The sequence below is a fragment of the Homo sapiens genome, chromosome 6, assembly GCF_000001405.40.
Source record: "Homo sapiens chromosome 6, GRCh38.p14 Primary Assembly".
Taxonomy (NCBI): Eukaryota; Metazoa; Chordata; class Mammalia; order Primates; family Hominidae; genus Homo; species Homo sapiens.
In genome coordinates this window covers 54,105,884-54,130,510 of record NC_000006.12, presented here as the reverse complement: position 1 = coordinate 54,130,510, position 24,627 = coordinate 54,105,884, and the positions used below count along the sequence as shown (strand labels likewise).

At 37.3% G+C, this 24,627-nt stretch overlaps 1 protein-coding gene across 18 annotated transcripts in view, besides 1 other annotated feature; it reads right to left on the bottom strand.

Moving 5' to 3' along the window:
• MLIP (muscular LMNA interacting protein) overlaps positions 1–24,627 on the bottom strand; it is a 247,311-nt gene that overhangs the window by 135,770 nt on the left and 86,914 nt on the right. For 10 of the 18 annotated variants that reach the window (XM_047419509.1, NM_138569.3, XM_024446579.2 and 7 more), the window contains exons 2-3: positions 8,909–9,064; positions 5,646–6,038 (exon numbers count right to left, since the gene is read on the bottom strand). In XM_047419509.1, the coding sequence (XP_047275465.1) occupies positions 5,646–6,038; positions 8,909–9,064 (549 nt within the window). Of the gene's footprint in view, positions 1–5,645; positions 6,039–8,908; positions 9,065–18,935; positions 19,069–24,627 lie in introns of those variants that run through there. The other 8 variants (NM_001281747.2, XM_017011466.3, XM_017011468.2 and 5 more) reach the window with 2 other exon arrangements.
• Positions 4,926–6,125: an enhancer, noted in NCBI's record as "CDK7 strongly-dependent group 2 enhancer chr6:53989184-53990383 (GRCh37/hg19 assembly coordinates)". NCBI's record gives its function as "activates an origin of replication core promoter dependent on BRD2, BRD4, P300/CBP, MED14 and CDK7 cofactors, with strong dependence on CDK7, by STARR-seq in HCT116 cells {active_cell/tissue: HCT116}" and the evidence as "EXISTENCE:reporter gene assay evidence [ECO:0000049][PMID:35650434]".

Sequence of the window (24,627 nt, the reverse complement as noted above, 5' to 3'; positions counted from 1 at the left end):
GAAGCGGAAACATAGTTTCTCCTTGAAGAGGGTCTAACCCCTCCCTCAGCAATTGCCCCCTCTTATTCTGCTCTAGACTCTGGGCAGTGAGGATGGGCAGGTGGTAGGAAGAACATTGCCTCTGACCTCTGATTCAGTCGTTACCTCCCCAGCCAAGTTCTGACATCAACAAGTTCTTAAGTTCTGACATCAACAAGTCAGGAGACTCTCTTCTTAAAAGCCTACATCATCTTTCTGCTGGAATTGTCACAGCGACTTGATTTTCCAGATATGTTCTTCCTTTGTACCTGGTTAATGGTACAAATTAACCCACCCAGAGGAAATAACAAGCTACCATTCAGGGACTATAGGGATTCTGCCAGCATCAGAGCAGAGCCTGGAGCTTCTCACTGATTCATAAAAATTCTCCTAAGTGCATCTAGTCTCATTCACTATGAAAGGTAACAAGATAAAAAGAGGGAATCATGTACTCACCCTAAGCACGAAACGAAATGGAGAGGTAGCAGTGGGAAGATCACTGGAGAAAAGTTATTTAAAAAAAAATCACTTGGTCAGGGATTTGTCCATTGCCTAAAAGAATGTAGGGCCTCTAAATTTTTAATCCTACCCAACTGCCCAAAACAATTATATGACCAAGAAGGCCCATGTAGAATCTGAATTACTACTTAGTCACCTCTCACCTATTCTTGCACAGTCAGGCCCCAGGTGGCTCTGTTCTGCATTCAAAGAGCCATCCAGCTGATGGCCATGAACACTTCACCTCCCAGCTTCTTAATATAAATGTGCCAATTTTCAGCAAGTACTTTGGCATTCCAAGCTAGTCCTCCAGCAGTTAGCTGAATCCAACATGAACGTTTAACCTCCCAGCTTCTTTCAAGGTTTTCAACCTCTAAATCTCTCGGGTCAGAAGCTATAGATTATTTGCTTAAGTAAGAGCAACAGCACTAACTCTAAGGCAGGAGTCCTAGGTGCTCTTCCATACTCTATTATCATTTTCTTTCAGCTTTGAATGCTCACTAAGAGGGTTTAGGTAATGTCTATTCTCTATTTATATCAGAAGATCATGTGAAAAGGAGGATCATTCATTCATTTATTCATTCATTCATCAGACACTTTTTAAGCACCCACAGTATTCCAGGCATTGTATTAGGTGATGGGAAGCAGAAGTGAGAAAAATATTTTTTGTCAAGTTCAAGGGGTTCAGGAATCTAGTGGGGTAAGACAGACACATGAAGGCTATTGTAATAAGTATGCTGGTATGAATAGGGTATTTCATTATAAAGTTGAGGCCTGGGGGTATATGGAGGGTTTCTATGTCTAATGCCCCATCCAAATAACTTACTGTAATCCCTTTTCTATGAATCCATGAAATCTAGTTATTTAATAAACATATATGCTAGTGTCCAAATTCCTCAGAATTTCATGTCAGGACCTGCATTATTTAGCCCCAGTCAGTTCTTTTGGTCTTATTTTCATGTTCCACATTCCTCTCCCCAGTTCTTACTTCTGAGCTACATTTGAAAAAGGTGTGAAACTCTCCTTCTCCACATGTTCCTGACTTTGTGCCCCCCCTCCAAAAAAAAACAATGCTGCCATCTCAGACTTCTTAGATACAGTAAATCATTTATTGAGAGCCTACCACTGGCCAGGCACTATTCTAGGCACTTTACATGTATTATCTCATTTAATCTTCACAAGGAAGGTTGATATATTATCAACTCATTTTACAAATGAGAAAACTGAGGTTTATGATTTCAAGTAACTCACCCAGAGGAACATAGCCAGTCAATTGCCCATCTCATTTTGGTTTTCCCACATCACCCCTCCAATGCATGACCTCCTTTTCCTTACCTCCATCCATTTCTCAAACTGATTTCTGTCCCCATAATCTCGCTCACACTGTTCCCACCAAGGTCACCAAATGACCTCCTTATTTCAAGATTTAATGGACTCAGGGGTCCTACTTTATTTTACCTTGTTTTATATTCTACTATAGACTCCTCTTTTTGGAAAGTCTCATTAGTTTCCACTGCATAAAACCACTCTCTCAGACATCTTTGATTCACCTCTTAGATAGAAAAAGACACCTAGGTTTCTCATTGGCTCTCTTTTTTCATAGGTGCTTTTATACTTTTCTGTTTCCTGGCTTGAATCCTGTCTTCCTACTTTTACCTTCTCTCCCTGAGTAAATTCCCATCACTTTAATTTATATGACGAATATCTCCAGTCTCCCTTCTCTCTCCTATGTCCAGGATTCATACTTCCAACTTCTTTCTAGATATCATCATATAGTGCCACCAAGGCATCTCAAACTCAACATCAGATGTCTAATCTCTTCCCATCCCCACCCAAGACCTGTTATTCATTCTTCAATTAATGATGCCAACATTCATCCAATGAGGTAATAAACTTCATTCATGCTTAATTTTTCCCATATATTGTCAATGAACAAGTTCAGCTAATTCTACCTCATCAGGCTCTCTGTCTATTCCCACAGTCACTATCTTAGCTCCAAACTTTATCATAGGTCTTTCAGACGAATCACTGTGTTGTATGTGTATTCACCTCTCCCGTAACTCTAATACTACCCCTAGAAAATTCTTAGACTTTTACATGAACATTCAAGTCTCTTTTTTCTGAATTTTATTTAAGAGGATTTTGATTCAACAGCTTATTTTACATAACATGTTTACTTTTGACATGCTTTGAAATTATTGAGTGATTTTTTTAACGTAAGATACTTTTACTTAAACATGCCACTTCAGGAAGCACTTGGGGAGTTTATCATTCAACCCAATATTTATATTGACTATGTCCCTGATAATATGCTAACCACTGTAGGGGACAAAAAGTTTAATAAAACTGAATTTAACATGGGCTTTACCTGTAAAAACTTTACAATCTCTTAGGGGAGATAAGACATGTATCTAAATAGCTATAGTACTGCCTATGATAATTATAAAATAGGTACAGAAAAAAAGCTATCAGAATAATGTTGGGAGAGAGATTGCTTTCACTGAGAGAACAAAACAGCTTCATGAAGGTGTCAATATCTGAGCAAGGACTTCACAGTTGAAAAGATATGCAATCTTTTGAATATTTCATTTTTTTCACTCACCTTATTGAACCCCCTTTATATGTAAGGCACTGCATTAAGTGCTAGGGATACAGAAATTAACAAGGGACCAGAACTTGATTTAATGTAGTTTTCAGCCAGTGAGGAAAAAAGATAAAAGTAAATTATTACAACAGAATGAAAAGGAATTATAATGGAGAATTTTTTCCCCCACTAAAAGCTATAAAATAATAAAGAAAATCACAAACATGAACAAGAACTAACTCCTTTCCAAAGGGAACATCTTTAAGAGGAGATGCTACTTGAACTGAGCTTAAATTATCAAGTAGCCTAGGTCAAAATGGAGAAGAGCTAGGGAAAGAAGGAAGCATTTGACCAGAGGAATCAAGGGCTCAGAGATGGGAAGGTATGAAGTATGTACTTTGGTGATTGTTCAGGAGAGCTGAAGAAGAGAGGTAAAAGATGTAGATAGAAAAAGACACCTAGGCTAGGTCATGGAAAGGTTAAAGGCCAGACTAAGAAGTGAAGACATTTCTTAGGAATAGCTTATCAATGACTAACCAATAGAGGTAATTTACAGACAATTCTATATATGGATTCATTTTCACCAGGTAGACTAGAAATTTACTTACTTGACTGTATTTCTGATTAAAAATTTGATATTGTTGGCATCAAGCAGCCCAATCGTGTAATTTTTTTTTAGACTTTGTACATTACAGTTCACTATATTAAACTTCCAGACTGCTTTCTTTGGTGCTCTGGTCATTTCTCCTTAGTTTACACTTGTGGCAATGGTCATCTTATTTTTATTTCATGATGACCTACAGTTCACTCAAGTGGATTATTATAGGAAATGGAAACAAGAGCAATGGTAATTGTTCAAATAATTGGTAATTGGTCAAACACTTTAGGATCTAGTATTCCACCACTACTGGTAATCATAATCTTCAGCCACAATTAATATATGAGGTTGAGCTCTGCTTTTTTATTTAGAGCTCTAATAACATGAACTATAACCTGCTCCTAAATAACCTTTTTTGGAAAAAATATTTTAAAGGACATATTCAGTCTCTAGATTCACTTCTGTATATTTGAACACACAAAAATAAAAATAAATGGCCAATTCAGGGGAAAAAACTATCAGTTGGAGAAAGAGTAAATCAAAGACCCAACAATTGCTTTGTTAATTTTTTATTAATACATTTTCTTCTCAGAGAAGTCACCTAAAGCTGTCCTCCCCTAACAATGGAAATTTCCACATTTCTACATCTCCAACTATTTCATTATCTTTTCTGAGGCAAGAAAGAAATATTTAAACCTATCACAGCATATTGGGAATACATTTAATTATATGATTATAATATTTTGTTCCAATACCTAGCTAAGAACGAACTTCAAGAAGAAATAAATGTTTTAGCCCAGTAAAAATGTGAGTACCGCAGTGTGTGTCTTTTACTACCAGAAGACAATACAAGATACTAGATGCTTGAAGATAATAAAAATGCAGCATCAGAAACTCAGTGAAGCCTACAGAAATAAAGATGGTGTGGCACCAAAACTCCAATGCTCATTCTACCATTTTGCATTGGTCCTGTCCTAGTAATGCAAAAAGACCAACACGCCAGTAAAAATGTCCTTTAAACTACTTTGGGTTGATTGCAAATGCCTGGTCTATTAGATCCTAAATGGGACATCTGGGTAACAATTCGTGGTCATTGTCAAGAAGTTAGAGCTCTGCATCCACTACCTACCTACTCTCAAAGCCAGCGTCTGCATTCCTAACATTCTAACTACACTTCGTCAGTCACCTTACATTTTCATTATAGCAAATAGCCAGTCAATGGCAAATTATTCTATTTTTCAACTTCAAAATGCCTCCTTGTCCGCATCCTTTCTTTCCTGCCATCACAGATGTGGGTCTTCTCCTATTGTACCAGACTCTCTCTACCTTAAAAGAACCATTCAATCTTGCCACTAAGTTTTGGGGTGGTATATTTTCCCCCTCTCACTGAGGTCAACCCCAGCCTTGTGGCTTCCAGGACCACAAAAGATGTTTTCCTTAGGATACACAGGGGAAAATTATTTTTCTTACTCTTATTTCCTAGTTTATCCTTTTACTAGTCTTTTACTAATTTAAAATCAATGGGTCTACCTCTAATGTCCAATTACCGTCTTTTCACTAGATCTTTCTTACGTCTGAAATATGCTTCTTGATGGACCCAGCTCACCAAGCACACTCTTCTTGACTAAAGAAACTCCTCATATCAACCTTCTCCAAGAATTATTTAAAGGAAAGAGGTAGTATTCTCCCAAATTTACTCCAGCTAAATGTTTTACATTTTCTCTTCAGCCAATTCACAGCATAATTGCTTAATCCTTTTTATCTTATATATTTATTATCTGTGTTTACACTATGATGATTTATTACCCTGAGATAATGGTTTTTTAAATATATTTTTCTTTGAAAGTTTTGTCTGCCTTAAACAGGATGGCCTTTGCAGACCGCCCAAGACAAAGGGTGCATAAACGCTTTTTTTTTCCTTATGGACAGCAGGAACACAAAACCTACCTGCCCATGCTTTTGCTGAGGGGCCATCCCATGAAGCATTTCAGGATGTGATGAGGTCTTGAGATCAGTCCCCTGTGTTTTGGGACGCACTACATCAGAGACCAGACTGGACGAGATAGCTAGAGACTTGGGCCGGACAGCTGCGGTGCCAATCCCCCCTGGGGGGCCTTGTTCAACTTTTCTGCTTGCAGCCTCATCTTCCCCTTCGGAGTCCACAATAAGGACATATTCAGCTTTGAAGAGGTCACTTTGCTGCATCCCTTGAAGTTTGTTTGCTTCGAATTCCCTTTCTTGTAAAATCGTTCCACTGACCTCTGAAGGACAAGTCAATTTCGCTTGGTCTCTCTCTTGTTGGCTCCCAGCATTCAAGGTCAAGTAGTCATTGGATTTAGACTGTAATAGATGTAGAGAGATAAAAGCATTGACATTAGTTTAATAAATGCTTCTTTTTTGGCATGTACACTGAAAAGCTTAACCTCCTTATATTTTCAAAAATATATTAAATTAGGTTGACATAAGAAAGAGATTGGGTTGAAGTTAGCAGTTTATTTTTACTAGCCCACTAGCCCACCTGTTTTTCCTGGTCTAAGCCCAAACAATTTTGGGATAGTAATCAACATCAACAGGCAAACCTAACTGTTTTCAAGTAAGTCATGATACGACATTTTAAAGAGAGAGAGGGAGAGAGCAATGTTTTCCGTGAAGACATTTGTGAAACAAATGGGGATTGGGCAAGGGTTTAGTTAATGGTGAAGCAAACTGTATATCCTTTAAAAGCCAAGGGAGGAAGGAAATCCCCATTGAAAGTTTCTAAAATAATACAAAATCTCTCTAAAAATCTGAAAGGAAAAATAAAATTGGGCAAAATGCATAGTCAGACAAAACAATCTAAGTTAATTAGGGAGAACTCATAAATAGAACACCAAAAAAGATGCAGATATTTTTAGTACAAAGCATCTTTCACTGTTTTATTTTGGATTTGTAATTCTCAGTCTTTTCCCATCCAATTTTCTGTGAATACATAGTTTACAAGACCAGGATCAAGATAGCTTTATCAAGCTACCAAACTTCTTTTTCTAAAACTATGACAGCCATGTATACTGAGATTGTGTTTAAAAGACCCAATGTTAATTTTCTTATTTTTATTATTACACTATGGTTACTATTATTCTTTTCTCTGCAGCTTTTCTGTAAGGCTAAAATTATTTCAAAATAGAGAGTTATGCCACTAAATGAAAATATGCTAATAATTTCAACTCTGGTGGTCAATTTAATGTGTACTGTGTGTGCATGTATTGTATGTATGAAGACAGAAGTCAAATCACTGATTAAATATAACTAAAAAGTTGATTTTATACACCCACATTATTCAGCTGATAATGAGGATATAGTCAGGATAAAACACAAATTGCCTCTGATTAAAATTTCTCTGCCCATCTTTCCCTATTTACTCTGATATTGTTTTCATTGTATTTATCACTATATGGATTTTATTACATACTTTTTTCATTTTTTTCATTGCCTGCCTTCCCGATAACAAGTAAGCTATATGAATTGTCTTTATTCAGTTGGAATCCAATCATCAAGAGAATAACATATGTTCAGTAAACAGTTGCTAAGAATATAAATGAAGCCGGGCGCGGTGGCTCAAGCCTGTAATCCCAGCACTTTGGGAGGCCGAGGAGGGCGGATCACGAGGTCAGGAGATCGAGATCATCCTGGCTAACAAGGTTAAACCCCGTCTCTACTAAAAATACAAAAAAAATTAGCCGGGCGCGGTGGCAGAGGCGCCTATAGTCCCAGCTATTCGGGAGGCTGAGGCAGGAGAATGGAGTGAACCCGGGAGGCGGAGCTTGCAGTGAGCCGAGATCGCGCCACTGCACTCTAGCCTGGGCGACAGAGCGAGACTCCGTCTCAAAAAAAAAAAAAAGAATATAAATGAATGAGGAATTACACTATTTTAATGTTGAACTGTCTAAGAGATAGGGTGAAAAATCTTTTAAAGATGTGGTTGTATATATATCATTGCAATCAGCAGATAAATATTATCATCTTAGGAAGCTCTGGAGGCTTGCAACCAAGGTTGGTTTATGTAGCTACAGTCTCACACCACTCATAAGGCCTAATTACAAAGGATCTCATTAATATTATGTAAATGAGTGCTGTAGGAAAGAAACTATCTAGAAGTGCCATATATAGTATTCATGGCCCCATTAGTCTTTGAAAGAAGATAGCAGCATTGAAAACCCCAGGATCATGGAAATATTACTATTTTCTAGATAAGATGTTTTCTTGTAGACAAGGTGAATCTGATTATTTTACTCCTTTCTAATTGTGTCAAGAATAACACAAAGTTGCCCCAATCTCATTTTATTTATAAGTAAGCAATGTTAAAACACATTTTAAAGAGAAAAACATTTTTACTCAAAATTTTGTTATTCTAACACAAGTTATTTTCAAGATTTTTAAATTTGTGTAATTTCACTTCCCATCTTGGTCTCATTTTAGATAGGTACAATCAAGATATGAACACAGTATTATATCACCTAATATTGTAAGGTTAACATTTTCCATGGAATTATCTAATTACCATCAGTATAACTTTGCCAAAGTGAGGTACTATTATATTCTTAACTTTTCTGATTGTTAGATATTAGGCATTTTTTATTTTTCCCTAATTATTTACCTACATAACATTTTTCTTCTTTTGTAATATTTCCTTGGGATACTTTTCAAAGAGTTAGATTATTGAAAGGTTATAAACAGTTTTATAACTATAGATAAAGTATTTCCACCAAAATTGTATAAATTTACAAAACCAGCAGCAAAGTGTAAGCATGCCAATATTTCCACAACTTTCCCAACATCAGGTATTACATTTTTTAATGTTGCTAATTCATTACCTGTAAATAATAATATCTCACTGTTTTGTCTTATATTTTCTTTTGAGATAAATTTAAACATTTTTAAATTTTGTTTTTATTTTCTTAAGAAACATTTGAGAGAATGTGCCAGGAGGCAGAATTTGTCATGTCAATAGCAAACAATAGGATGTCAAACTGAAAAAAATTGAAGATAATGCATTAGAGAGAACATGCAATTTGATAACATTTATGCTTCTGTTGCATTATTATATTTTTAGTCAAACTTAGAGTCACAGTCACCTTAATTTAAGCACAGGAAATATACACAAATTTCCAAGTCATCATTATCAAAATTTAATATAATTGTTTGAAATTAAAAAAGAATAAAAATAATCCTACCCTATTTACAGTTTCTGGACTCTTATCACTTGATTCTTCTGGAATTTTAACAAGGAATTTAGAGGTGTCAGCCAACTGAGTATGGGTTGGTAGTCTTCTGACAGTGGGGACAAATGTGAAGATCAGAGGTTTGGCTTCAGAACCACCAGCAGAGACCTATGAGACATGTAGTTAATTAGACTTTCAGCCTTGTCAAAGGTTTATCTTGCCTTTATTCTCCATATGACATGATATTTATCTCATTTATTTTGATGAATTGCCTATTGTCCTGTGATCATGTATATGGCTGCCAAAGTAAACACCTATAAAAATGGTTATAAAGAATCAGAACCTTTTTTATGATATTATTTACCAGAGAAAACAATACCACCCAGGGAAGATCCTGTTGTAGGGGATGGCATAAAACAGCAGGTTGGCAAGCTGATCAGCTGGAATCTCACAGAGCATTTCTGCCTCAGTGGGGTCATCACAAACTCATCATCTGTTCTGTTTCAAAACTGGCTTTCATCCATCTAACCCTGGGTTAGCCGGTTCAATTTATTAACTCATAATCAATAAGCATGCAAGAAAATCCCCACATTTATCGTTAGCAAGAATGCCAAAATACAAATTTAAAGTTGAAAGTATGCCTATCAGAATACCAATGCTACTCTTAAAGATATACCTTCTCCTTCATTTATTCTTCACTTTTTCAAAAATAATTGTATGAAGTATTTGCTGTGTGACAGGTACTCAGGAGGTAGGGAAACAACGGTGAACAGGAAACAGTCAGTAGACTACTCACAAGCAGAAAAAAGATAAGACTACTAAGGGAACAGTGATGAAGGGTGCCTACCCAACCCATGAAGCTTCATAATAGGTAGTACCTGAAATTTAAGTCCAGTTGAAAAGGAGGATAGGGAGATCCCAAGCTGAGAAAAGGAGATGAGTGAAAGCATGGAAAGTAGCAGCAGTGGAGAGTGTATCAAGCTTGGACTTTGTTCTGTTAACATTGTTGATTGAAAAATGACATAGTCATATTAGAATTGTAGATAGATAAAATCTAGTTTTAAAAGTCACAAACCAGCCGGGAGCGGTGGCTCCTGCCTGTAATCCCAGCACTTTGGGAGGCCAAGGCGGGCGGATCACCTGAGATCAGGGGTTTGAAACCAGCCTGGCTAACATGGTGAAACCCCATCTCTATTAAAAATACAAAAAAAAATGAGCCGGGCGTGGTGGCAGGCGCCTGTAGTCTCAGCTACTCAGGAGGCTGAAGCAGGAGAATGGCGTGAACCCAGGAGGCGGAGCTTGCAGTGAGCCGAGATCGTGCCACTGCACTCCAGCCTTGGCGACAGAGCGAGACTCCGTCTCAAAAAAAAAAAATAAAAAAAAGAAGTCGCAAGCCTAGACACAAGAATAAAAAGCCAAAAGCATAAGTTGAGGACTAAATGGAAAGGGAGAAAGAGAAGACAGTACTGTAGATTTCTCTTTTAAGAAGTTTGCATGAGAAGTACAAAGAGAGGTTGAGAGTAATTAGAGAGCAAATTAGAGTCAACAGGGTGCTTTTGTTTGTTTTATAATGAACTGAACATATCTATATACTAGGGGATGGGTGAGAGTAGAGAAGGAAAGGGGAGCAAAACCCTGAAGGAAGCAGGTGAAATAAGTTACAGCAACAACAAAAGGAACATGCTCTCCTTTGAGACTGGAGAAAATAGACTAAGATGTAGAAGAGCTCACAAACGTGGTAAAGTGGTGGAAATGGAAAGAGTGGGAAGATGATGAGAACCACTTTTGTTGTAGATAAAACTGTATGTATTTATCATGTACAACATGATGTTGTGAAATATATATACTCTTGGAATAGTTAAATCTAGTTAATTAACAAATACAGTTCCTCACGTAATTATCATTTTTTTGGTGAGAACACTTAACATCTATTATCTTTGCATTTTTCAAGAATACAATATATTGTCATTAACTATAGTCACCATGCTGTACAATAGATCTTGTGAACTTATTTCTTCTATCTAACTGTAATTATATATATTTTGACCAACATCTCCTCAAGTCCCCTCCCTCCTACCAACCACAGCCTCTGGTAACCACTATTTTACTCGTTACTTCTATTAGATCAACTTTTTAAAAATTCTACATATGAGTGAGATCATGCAGTATTTGTCTTTCTATAACTGGCTTATTCCACTTAACATAACATCCATGTTCATCTGTGCTGTTGCAAATGACAGAATTCCATTCTTTTCATAGCTGAATAGTATTCCACTGTGTATATGTACTACATTTTCTCTATCCATTCATCCATTGATAGAAACCTAGTTTAATTCTATATCTTAGTTACTGTGGATACTGCTGTAATAACATAAGAGTGCAGTTATCTCTTCCATATACTTATTTCATTTCGTTTGGCTATATGCCCAGTAATGGGATTGCTAGATCATATGGTAGTTGTATTTTTAATATTTTGAGGAACCTCCATACCGTTTCCACAATGAATGTACCAATGAACACTCTCACCAATGTGTGTAAGTGTTCCCTTTTCTTACATTCTCACCAACACTTATGCTTTGTTTTTCTGATAATAGCCATTCTAACAGGAGGGAGGTAATATCTCACTGTTTTCATTGGCATTTTCCTGATGATTAGCAACAATGAGCATCTTTTTCATTATGAGCATCATTTTCATTCATACCTATTGGCCATATACCTGTTGGCCATTTGTGTGTCTTTTGAGAGATGTCTATTCAGATGTATTGCCTGTTTTTTAATTGGATTGTTGTCTTGCTATTGAGTTGTTTGAGGTTTTTTTAATATTTTTTGGTTACTAACCCTTTATCAGATGTATAATTTACAAATATTTTCTCCCATTCTGTAGGTTGTCTCCTCACTCTGTTGATTGTTTCCCTTGCTGTACAGAAGCTTTTTAGTTTGCTAAAATCCTATTTATCAATTTTTGCTTTTTTTGCTTATACTTTTGAAGTCATATCCAAAAAATTATTGCACAGACCAATGTCATAGAACTTTCCCGCTATGTTTTCTTCTAGCAGTTTCATAGTTTCTGGTCTTACATTTAAGTGTTTAAAATGTTTTGTATATGGTTAAAGACAGAGGTCCAGTTTCATTCTTCTGCATGTGGAAACCCATTTTCCCAATACCACTTATTGAAGAGACTGACTTTTCCCCATTGTGTGTTCTTGGCACCTTTATCAAACATCAGTTGGCTGTAAGTGTGTGGATTTATTTCTGGACTCTCAGCTGGAACTCTCAGTTCCATTGGTCCATGTGTTGGTTTTTACGCCAGCATCATGCTATTTTGGTTACTATAGCTTTGTAGTAGTATACTGTGAATTCAGGCAGTGTGATCCCTCCAGCTTTGTTCTTGTTGCTCAAATTGCTTTGGTTATTCAGGCTCTTGTGTAGTTCCATAAGAATTTTATTATGTTTTAATTCTGTGAAGAATGTCATTGGTATTTTGATAGGAGTTGCGTTGAATCTGTAGATCACTTGGGGTGTTAGAGGCATTTTAACAACACTTATTCTTCCAATTCATGAACACAGTATATCTTTCCATTTATTTGTGCCTTTCTCATTTTCTTTCATCAATGATTTTTGTTGTTGTTGTTGTTGTTGTTGTTGCTGTTGTTGTTGTTGTTGTTGTTTTGAGACAGAGTCTCATTCTGTCACCCAGGTTAGAGTGCAGTGGCACGATCTCGGCTCACTGCAAGCTCCACTCCCGGGTTCATGCCATTCTCCTGCTTCAGCCTTCCGAGTAGCTGGGACTACAGGCGCCCGCCAACACGCCCAGCTAACTTTTTGTATTTTTAGTAGAGACGGGGTTTCACCATGTTAGCCAGGATGGTGTCGATCTCCTGATCTCGTGATCCGCCCATCTCGGCCTCCCAAAGTGCTGGGATTACAGGTGTTAGCCACCACACCCGGCCCTAAAATTTTTTATATATAAGATCCTGTCATCTGCAAACAAGGTCAATTTAACTGCTTCCTTTCCAAATTGGATGCCTTTTATCTCTTTCTTTTGCCTAATTGCTGTGGCTAGGACTTCCAGTCCTGTGAGGAATAGAAATAGTGAGAGTGGGCCGGGCACGGTGGCTCACGCCTGTAATCCCAGCACTTTGGGAGGCTGAGGTGGGTGGCTCACAAGGTCAGGAGATCGAGACCATCCTGGCTAACACAGTGAAACCCCTTCTCTACTAAAAATACAAAAAATTAGCCAGGCGTCGTGGCGGGTGCCTGTAGTCCCAGCTACTTGGGAGGCTGAGGCAGGAGAACAGCATGAACCTGGGAGGCAGAGGTTGCAGTGAGCCTAGACCGGCCACTGTGCTCCAGCCTGGGCAACACAGCTGGACTCCATCTCAAAAAAAAAAAAAAAAAAAAAAGACAGAAATAGAGTGGCATCCTTGTCTTTTTTCCAAATCTTAGAGTAAAACCTTTCAGCTTTTCCCCATTCAATATGTTAGCTATGGATTTGCCATATAGGGCCTTTATCATGTTGAGGTACATTCTGTCTATACCTAATTTGTTGAGAGCTTTTATCATGAAGGAATGTTAAATTTTGTCAAATGCTTTTCTGCGTCTATTGAAGTAATCATACATTTTATGTCTTTAATTCAGTTAATGTGATGTATCAGATTTATGGATTTGCATATTTTGTTGAACCATCCTTGCCTCCCTGAGATAAATCCCACTTGATCTTGGTAAATAATCTTTTTAATGTGCTCTTGAATTCAGTTTACTAGCACTTTGTTGAAATTTTTGCATATATGTTCATCACGAATATTGGCCTGTAGCTTTCTTTTCTTGTTGTGTTGTTGTCTGGTTTTGGCATCAGGGTAATGCAAGTCTCATAGAATGAGGTTGGAAGTATTCCTTCCTCCTTAATATTTTTGAAATAGTTAGAGGAGAAATGTTCTTAGTTCTTCTTTAAATGTTTGGTAGGATTCAGCAGTGAAGCCATCAGGTCTGGGCCTTTCTTCAATGGAGATATTTTATTGCTGATTCAACTTTCTTATTCATGACTGTTCTGTTCAGATTTTCTGTTCTTCATAATTCATTCTCAATAGGTTGTATGTGTCCAAGAGTTTATCAATTTCTGGAAGCTTATCCAATTTTTTGGTATATAATTGTTTACAGTAGTGTTCTATGATACTTTGTATTTCTGTGGTATAAATTATAATGTCTCCGTTTTATTCTCTGATTCTATTTATTTGTCTAAAGATTTGTCAAATTTATCTTTCCAAAAACCAATTCTTTGTTTTATTGAGCAATCACTCTTGATATAATTAATTTTCATGATAAAATCAGTCCCTTCTTGTCAGAGTAACACTGCCCTGCCACCTCCATTCCCCTGTCAGAAGAAATATGACATGCCCTGGCAAGTCTCTCACTCCCTCTCCCTTCAATCCCTGCCACCCTTTTATGCCTTGAACTGCTCAGACCTTATGACCTTATGAGCACGCCTTTTAACCCAGTTCATGTCAGTGCCCATGAGAAACCCTAGGCTCTGTATCATCCCTCCATTCCTGTATGCTATGCACATTCCTAGTTCTGTTCCCATCTTGCACCCTGCTCCAACTCTCAAAACCTTTTCACTGTATACCTTCTGGAATTCAGTGAGCAATTAAAAAAATCTTACATATCTGTATCTTATTTTCAAAATACTCCCTTCACTTTCTAGTTATAACTAAAACATGGTTCTCTCTGAAGGACTCTATTTCAATGATAAATGTTTTCTCTCACACTCCTGCACCAATGGGCCTGGAAGTAAAATAGGTGTCCTCCTTGCTTATCTTTACTGCTTCCAGACTATTCTTCTCTCTTGTCTAAAAACTTCCAGCTTTGAATCTCATGTCATCAGTCTATACCCTTCACAATCTCTCTTAGCTGCAGTCATCTTTCCACACCCGTATTAAATGCTTCTTTCCTTAAAGATTCAGTTTCTGGTTCAATGCCACGCTTCTTAACCCAATGCTTTGTATAATACCCAGTATTATATCTCAATGGGTATTTTTTATAATATTGTATTTCCTTGACCTCTATTCTTCCTTGCCCCTCACATCCCTAGCCTTGCCCAATAGCTGCAAACCTTCCGTAATTTGTTTCTTCATTCTCTGACCATCACTTTTTATCGCTCCATACTATCCCCCTAGTAGTCCAACTCTAACATTTTTTAACTTCACCATGATTTAAATCTACTGATTCTTCCACAATTATTTTCCTACATTTGTCTTCTTAACCAGCTTCAAAAACCAAGTTGACCACAGTTACTCTTTTGGATACCCCTCAAATCCCTTGTCCTCCTTTATATCATCATCCTGTTTGAGTACATTACAGCCCTCACTAAGTCTAATCCCCTACCTACTCTATTTCTGAACCAGGAAGGTAAACATGCCTGGGGGAAACCACACAACCACACCTACTGATCTCACTTCATATTTACCACTCTGAGCCTCAAGAAGGCTTTTCAATGCTGCCCAACAATCGTACTATACTTCCATAGCCCATTCACTCTTCCACTGGCCTAGAAAACTCTTTCACACTTTTTCCCCTTTCTTCAAACCTCTAACATCTCTCCCACATTCTCACTTGGAGCTGATGACTTTGTTTCCTATTTCGTTAAGGTAACGGAAGCAATCAGAAAAGAATTTTCAAGGCCCCCAACACCACATTTATTCACACATCTGCATCTCTGCCCTTTTTTATGGCCTTCAGTCCTACTACTATGCTCCTAGTAAAACCAACCCTCACTGTAATACTTTGCCTTCTACTTACTTTCATTTATTCAATGAGGTATTATTAAATGCCTACTAAATGCTAGGCACTATTCTAGGGGTTGGTGCCATAACAGTGAACAAAAATCCCTACCCTCATGGAGTTTATATTCTAGTGGAGGGAAACAGACAGTAGACAAATAAATAAACAACATATGTAGTACTATTTTCATAAATGCTATGAAGACTTGCTATAAGTCTATTGCAATAACCCATAGGAGAAAAACTGGTGAGTTGAATGTAGTTTGCTGCAGTAATAGTGGTAAGAACTGTTAAGATTCTGGCTACATTTTAAAGACAAAACTTAAAATTTGTTGAAAAATTGGAAGTGGAATATGAGAGATACACAAAAATCAAGATGGGTAGACAAATTTTGAACTGAATAACTGCAAGAAATGAGATATTATTCACTGAAATGGGGAAGACAATAGTTGAAGCTGGTTTGAGAATAACGATCAAATTTTGTGTGCCCAATATACAACCAAGTGGAAATGTGAGTATGAGTCAAGTTTACAGGAAATTCTGTGCTGGGGATAAAATTACTAGGGTTGTTAACCCATAGATGATATTTAAAACCAGGAGACTAGATGAGATCAATAAAGATGTAAACACAAATAGAAAAATAAGAGGCTTAAGGCCAAACCCTACAGACTCTAACATTGAGTGATCCACCAGCTGAGGAAGAACTAGCCAAGGTGGCCTGGGCGTTTTAAGGAAGATTTTAAAAGGCTGAAACATCACTGACAGTAGTCAGAAAGAGGGCTGACCAGAAACAAAATTTCTCACAGTCTACACTGAGGAACCAGTCCAAATATAAATCCAGGAACAGTGAGGCAATTTGCTTGGCTGTTCGATAGTCTCTCAAGGAATGCTTTGCTGGTTTTGGCAGGATGTGGCAAGTATAAGGAAATTAAGGGTACTGGTGAGAGTAGAGCAAATGATTGACCATGGAGTTCAGTTTGTATAGGTAAGGAGGAAGAACCCTCAAGTTGAAGGAACTAGAGGTCTCTGTGCTCAGGAAACAGAGTTGATACTATGATGACTGTTTGAGAGAATGGATGGGGTCATAATATGATATGAGAGTTTATTAATTTAATAATTAGAAGTATGATAATTCCAGATGATTCTAAATTCCAGGCTTTGGCATTAAGACTGAGTATATGAAAGGAAGGGCACTGAGCTTGTGAAGATCAAGGAACTGTGAGACAAGAATATTGACAGGGTTTTAAAAACTTTTAATTTTCAATATTCTTTTCGCCTTTAAAGATATGTGTCATTATTTCCTCATTGTATCCATGTCAAAATACCTTATCATCAAAAAGTAATAAATCAGTGCTTTATATTGTAGGAAGGATCCCTTGTGAGATTTAAGGAGCCCACTTATCTATCAACAATACGTAATACAACAGGCCTTCTAGATGTATTATCTTCTAGGGCTGTTTCATCACATAACTAATCTCATCAATATCATGATAGAAAGGAGAGTGGTTTTGGCAAGGAAATTACTGAAGTAGTTCAAATAATCCATCCCATAATTTCATTTGAGTAAGAAATAAAGATAATCCTTTAGGAGTAAAGAGGTGAAATTGCAACTTTGTCCCCAGGTTCTGTAACTAGGCCTTCCCTTATCTTTCCATGTCATGACTATAGGTCTATCTTATGTTCCATCCAAATAAAATTTAAAAAATAATATATGAAAGTCTTCATTATAAGCACCCCATGGTTACAAAATACATATAACCATTATAAGCAGTAAGTAGCTTTACCTTCTAAAGCATATATAATGATGAAAATTTATTTCTTCAAACACCTTGCACAATTTGTATAATTCAATGCTACTTAAGTATCTAAGATACAAATACAGCTCCACAACTGGTATGTCACATGCTATGAACTTTTTAAAAGTTGACAGCTATAACTTTCAGTGAATAAAGTAGAAACAAAGTATGAATGAAAACTGATGCTTCAATGAATAAGGTATGCTTTTACAACGGTACTGCCTAAAAAATTTCTAAACATAACCACATCCTGACAATAAAGGCAACTGAAAAGAAGAAAACCTATTTCTTTCTAATTTATTGTTATATTTTCCTAAAGAAACATCCATATCCTACATAAAATTTTCTCACCAGTGTAAGGAAACAATTTTTTTTTATTTTAGTTGAACCAGTACATGATGTGATTCCAGAAAACACAGAAACAGGAAATCTAATAAAACTAAAGACTTATTCATCTTCCTGAGTTACTGTTGGAGAATAACAAGATCAGACATAAATTCCTGTCCACATACATATCTTCAGAAGAATAATCACAAAAAGGGCAATCATTTGGTATTCGCTTTTAAGCTAACAGTACAATATTAGCTCTTTTCACCACCTTTACCTAGCATCCTTAACTTACCAAGGATCTAATACTCATTCACAAGGAATTTCAGTTGGAAAAGAATTTGAAATTACACCAACTATGCAATGCAACATTCAGATAAAGAGCCACATATTAGCCAGTAGACTATTTAATCCCTTGTTTAGGAGAGAACAAAAAAATATTTGCTGTTTACTGCATACTGTGGCTAAGTTCCAATGTAGCCTAAGAATGAATTGCTATGGTGATGAAAAACCATTTTCCACACAAAGCAGCAACAGATGCATGTTAACAGCATTGCACTTGTTAATTGCCAATTAACACTTTCAGTTGTCAATGTTATTTAAATATCTTAGTTTCTATCCTTGGGAAACTAATTTAGTCATAGAAATATGAGATAAAAGGATTAAAATCTTTTTCTAAATACACTTTGAAATGCTCAAAATCTCTAAGAACGTCATCTTCTCACCGGATAGCCTAATAATTTGAGAAACTGTTTTCCCGCATGCCACGCAGGCTAACAGCTCCTTTGCTCAGTTTTGGGCTGTAATGCCTTCCTTTCTTATATTTCCCTAAAAGTTCTCTTCCTTCAGATGTTGACACCCACACTCGCAGATGGCCTCTAGCCTCCTGTTAAGGCATTACAGGGTATCTTACATTATCACTGTGCCAAGGGCAATCCTGAGCATTTTCTTTGCCCAATGAGCAGTTTTGTCTTTATCAGCTCACCCTTTTCTCTAAGTGAAGATAGCATTTCATTTCAATATACATACAAATTTATCTTCACTGGGCAGCTCTCCCTCACATCCTTGCAGCAAATACCACCAGCACCGTACACTGCTTTTAAAAGTTACTGAAAGCATTAAGCAAAGACTTCCTTTTACCTGGGGTGTGGTCTGAATGCTCCCTGATAAGATGCACGAGGTCATTTGGAAGTAATTGTTCCCGCAGTCACTCAGAAGCCCCTGTTCTGAAAGCATTGATTCATCACATAAGGGAGCGAGCAAACCAATGACTGAGGTGGGAAGGGAGCCTCATACTAAAACAACACACACACACTCACGCAGAAAGAAGAAATTCTAAAAAGAGGTAAAGCAGAGTCATTCCAAAATTGAGGAATTGTGTCAGCTCCGAAGAGTAGATTTCTGTTTTGACAATTTTTAGATTTGGAACATTATGAGAGGTCATACTAACTGCTGAAATGGAATCAGTAGAAGTGAAAAAAAGAAAAAGAAAAAGAAAAAAAGCCACTGATATGTGTTTTCCCTCTTTTCTTTTCATGCATGTATTCCAATTATATATTCTGTGAAAAGAAGAGAAAAGCCAGATTGTGCAGCAATGAGAAGCTGATTGAAGGGCGCTAGCACCTGCCAATCTCAATAATCAGTTGGTCATGCTCATAGAGAACATTTAGAGGTATAAATACATGCAAACACTGTGTCCAAATAAAGAACTAGAAAACACACAGTTATTTCAAAATATCAGTAACTTTATCCTTAGTATATAAATTGTAAGCAACAATACAGGAGCATCTGTAGTGACTGAAGTTATGTTATTAACAAAATCACCTCTAAAATAAAGCTTGGAATCAAATCCTTGTCAAAACAGAATTTCATTCCAAGGTTCCTGGAAGACAGTGAGAATCCTGACTGCAGACAAACCTTAAAACTTCATATGTGAAATTGATTGGAGTCTTCAGCTTTCAGTACTTCTATTTTCTAAGTATTGATTTTTCTCCAAATCTGTAATATCTACATTTGTGCTTTGGCAGTGAAAAGTGTTGTATCCAAAGGACTAGATATAGATCAAAGGCTATGGGAAGGAATTACTATTTTAGAAACCTAGATTATGCCTCTTCACATTTTCGATGTTATCAAAAGCCTGAGATTATGGAAACATAATGAGTAAAATAATTGCTATAAGTGATTCTATTAGCACAGTGGGAGGAACTATTCCAAACAACACAGACCTAGAATATGATCTAAATTTCTGAATATAAGTGCCGTGTTATAAAAAAAACTATGAGCCTTCTTCTATTTTACACATATTTATGGATACTCAAAAGAGAATATAAGTGCCTCTTGCCCTCAAAAAGCTAATGGTTTGAGAATATAAAACAGGTAAACAAATAACAAAGATACAAAGTGAAAAAAGAAAACAAGAAAAAGCCCTATACTGGCCAGGCGCCGTGGCTCATGCCTGTAATCCCAGCACTTTGGGAGGCCGAGGCGGGCGGACCACAAGGTCAGGAGATCGAGACCATTCTGGCTTATATGGTGAAACCCTGTCTCTACTAAAAAATACAAAAAATTAGCCGGGCGTTGTGGCGGGCAGCTGTAGTCCCAGCTAATCGGGAGGCTGAGGCAGGAGAATGGCATGAATCCGGGAGGCGGAGCTTGCAGTGAGCCAATATCGCGCCACTGCACTACAGCCTGGGCGACACAGCGAGACTCCGTCAAAAAAAAAAAGAAAAAGAAAAAACGAAAGGAAGGAAGGAAGGAAGGAAGGAAGGAAGGAAGGAAGGAAGGAAGGAAGAAAGAAAGAAAGAAAAAGAAAGAAAGAAAAGAAAGCCCTATACTGCAGTTCTTCTTAAACTACTGCACACATAAATCCCCTGGGGAGCTTGTTAAAATGCACTTTCTAAGTGTGGAGATCTGAGATGTGGCCTCAGATTCTGCATTTCCAAGAAGCTCCTAGTAGATGCCCTGGGAGCCACACCCCAGATCTGCTGCTGGTGTGTTACACTTTGAGTAGCAAAGACAGAGGAATTTCAGAGAACGATGTTACAGCCACCTGGAGGGCAGTAATTCAAGATGGTGGCATTTGGGCTGCACTTAGAAGAACGGGGAAAGGGAAACTATGAAGGTGGGATGGAATAGCAAGTATTTCAAGCAAAGAGAGAGGGCTGGATTGAAGGCACCTATCGGGACAGCAAGAGCAGTAAGTCATAAAGCACAGGACCCTGGAGCCACATCATCCACTGGCTGTGGGCCCTCAGACAAGTTACTGAACTTTTTAAAGGCTCAGTCCTCTCACCTGTGAAATGTGGATGAGAATAGCTCTCATTTCACAGAGTTCTTGTGAGGATTACAATTAAATTCAGCATGTAAGATTTCCACAGATTCTTAGCTCTGTGCCAGGCAGATTCTTAATACACGTTACTCCTGTGGGTATTGTTGTTTTCTAGTTTTATAAATAACATAAATGAGAATAAAGGCAAGTAAGACAAAAAAAAGTAGGTTAAATGTAGGTCATCAAAGATCTTGAATTAAGATGTTTTAGCTTTATTCAGTGAAGAACAGAAATGGAAATATTCATATATATATGAATATATATGTATGTAAATATATATGTATTTATTGATACTACCCTTTGGTGTTTTGATTTATATATATAAAGACATATATATATATGAAGACATAAAATTATATATATAAATCAAAACACCAAAGGGTAGTATCAATACATCTTAGAGATCACTCTTATCGCAAAGTTCTAGTGTGGTTCTCCAAGAAGAAGTGACAGTCCAGATTTTTGTCAGTGGTCAATCAGTTTATTCCAGGTGGATTCAAACGCTATGAAACTCTTCTTCTATGTCTCATTCTGTCCTTTCCTCTCTGATCTTTTCTTTCTCTCATTCTCTCCCACAAACAGAAAGCAATATTTATGCAAGTTGGCATAATCAAATTTAGAAGAGAAAATACTTCAGCCCCTACTCTTCCCTGCTCAGATTCTTTCTTGAGTCATTTTACAACATGAAAACCAATTTATTATTTTGACATTTTTCTCTGTGTCTTATTGGTAACTTTCCTCTAACCATTTTCTTTCCCTTGTTTTATTAACTAATAATTGCTGTTATAGACTATTTCTTATAATACTAGAAGTCATAATTTTCACTTAAAAACACATAAATGGTCATGCATTATAACAGCATGCTTCAGCCATCTGGATAGTAACTACATATAGCTTCAAAGAGCACATGTATTTTGGATAATTTCTATAGAAACCATTCTGTATTTAAATAGAAAGTGATGGCACCTGGTCAAAAAATGGGTCCTAGTCTTGGATGACAAAAGAGCATATAAATTACCTGAGTGGAGAGGAGAAGAGAATCTATCCTCTAATTACAACAACTTTTCTATAGACAAAAAGTCATCTATGGTCTGCCCAAGACCCTTAAGCATTTTATAATCACAAACTTTTAATGATCTCTCTCCCACTAACAAACACAAACTGCTCTGTTGAATAATCTTTTTTTTGTTTTCACAGGAAAACAAAGTTTGTCAAAGCTTGCAATAGATGAATACAATCCAAAATTCTCTTTAAAATCTGGCATTATTGATGATAGCTGAAGCAGGCATCCGTCACCCTTATTACTAAACGGATATTACTGCAATACCTTTCAGCTGAAAGACTCTTAAGATATTGCTTTTAAAAAAATAATACAGAACAAATAATCCTCTTCCTGACATGGGAAACAAATTTGAGAAAAAAGAAATAGATTAGTCCACAAGTTTGCCAAGAAACATGTAAGTGATTAAACAGATCCAGCTGCCAAGGCTATTCAGACATCCATTTGTCTGTTTTTATGCCTCAGGCTTGATAACAGAAGGTACCAGAAGTCCCATTTATTTATCTTAATAAACATCTATTGAGTGCCAGTCACGATTCTAAGCTCTGAAGACATAAAATAATAAAGGCTTGGAACCTGTTCTCAGCATGGCTTATAGTCTCATTAAAGAGACACCTTCACTCGTGACGGGAGCAGTGAATGAAGTCAGAGGAGGATGACAAGTCACGTGCTGAACACAGACTGCATGGGCAATGCATGTCAGGTTGTTTTCGGGGAGATTTCACTCTTAGCTCCTGCACTCCTAGGTCCTATTTCTGGCAAACACTGGGACACTTCTGCTCAGCCCTTTTTCCTCTAAAAATGGGAATCATTAGGTGTTCGTATCCGTGTCTCTCAGGTAATGGGTGATTCCAGAGATCCTAATCAGGACTAACCCGATTCACAGGCTCAGAATTGAGTGTGCAATATTTAAAGTGAATCCTGACATCTCATCAACAATATGTGAAATTCCATTACAGTCTAAATTTGGCCTCATCTGTATTGGACACAGACTTCTACTTCTGTTATTACTGCTTATAGTAGTATACCGCTATAACTTATAAGTAATATACTGCTATAGGTATATAGTTATACTGCTTACTCTTCTCCTTGGAGTATGTCCTCCTAGTTTAAAAAGATATCAGTAGTCCTTAATTAAAGTAAACCAAAAGCTTCAAAGTACTGTTTGACCTAACAAGATATTCAGAAAAAATGAATAAGCCCTATACAGGGTAGAATTTGAAAGAGGCACAGAGACAATGATAAGAAACATTTATCCATTAGGAATAAGTGTATGTGGTTCACTCTCTCCTTGTTGAATTACTTTCTTAGCTTGGTTTCAGGCAATCCATTTCCTTTCAGTCCTCTTCCTATCCCCTGGACACTCCTCTGTCTGCTTTGTGCCATCTGACCCCTCAGCTTTGAAGTAGCCCAGGAGTCATTCCTTGGTGATCACATCCAGTTACTTAGCTGTAAATAACATTTATAAGCCAATGAATTCCAATTTATTTCCCCAGACTGGATGGCTTCTCTGGATGACTTCACTCACACAATTAACATCATTATTGGAACATCTCATAGATATCTGAACATCAGCACATCTGAATCTGAATTAATTGCATTTCTTTTGAAGTTGTTCCCCACCTCCCAAAATTTTCCTCACTTCTTCAGACAGTTTCTACCTATTTCTAGTTGCTTAGGCTAAAAATAATGAGTTCATATTATTCTTCTTGGTTTTTCAGAATCGCTCATCAATGTATTAGTAAATCCTATTGGCTGTCCCTTCAAAATAAATCCAAAAAATGAATCTATCTCACTACTTCTACTTCTAACATCCCAGTAGCGGAACCTGCCATCGTCTTCTTTCCGAATCATTGCCTCCTAATTGGTCTTTCTGCTTCCACTTTGACTCCTGAGTGGATGCTCTGATGAGCACCATATGGATGGTCTGATGAACCATCCGTATCCCTGTCAGGCTGAAGGACGTATTCCCCAGCTGCTGGGAGTGCTGTAACTGTGGTCAGCTGTCAGTCTTCTTCAAGAAAAAAAAAACTTCTTGCCCAAAGTCACTCTGCCTTCTTAGGGACATCGGATGGCTAGTTGATGCATCCATATAAAATCCTGGCCCCCTCACTCCAGCTTGAAACAACTCTAGAGAGGAATCCATTCCAGAGCTCCTCATGAGGTCAGCTAGGCTTTGAGACCACTCTGTAGCCCAGTCTCTCCCTCTGCCTCCTTCCCATCTACAGGTATTGCTCCTGGGAGCACTCCCTAATAAACTTTGCATGCTAATCTCCATCTCAGAGCCTGCTTCCTGGGAACCCAATCTGCATATCTTCCATATAGCAGCAAGAGTAAACCTTTTAAAACAGAAGTCAGGCCATGTTACTTCTCTAGGCAAAACTCTCCACTAGATTCCTGTGTTACCAAGAGTATCAGTTCTCATAACAACCTATAGCCCAATG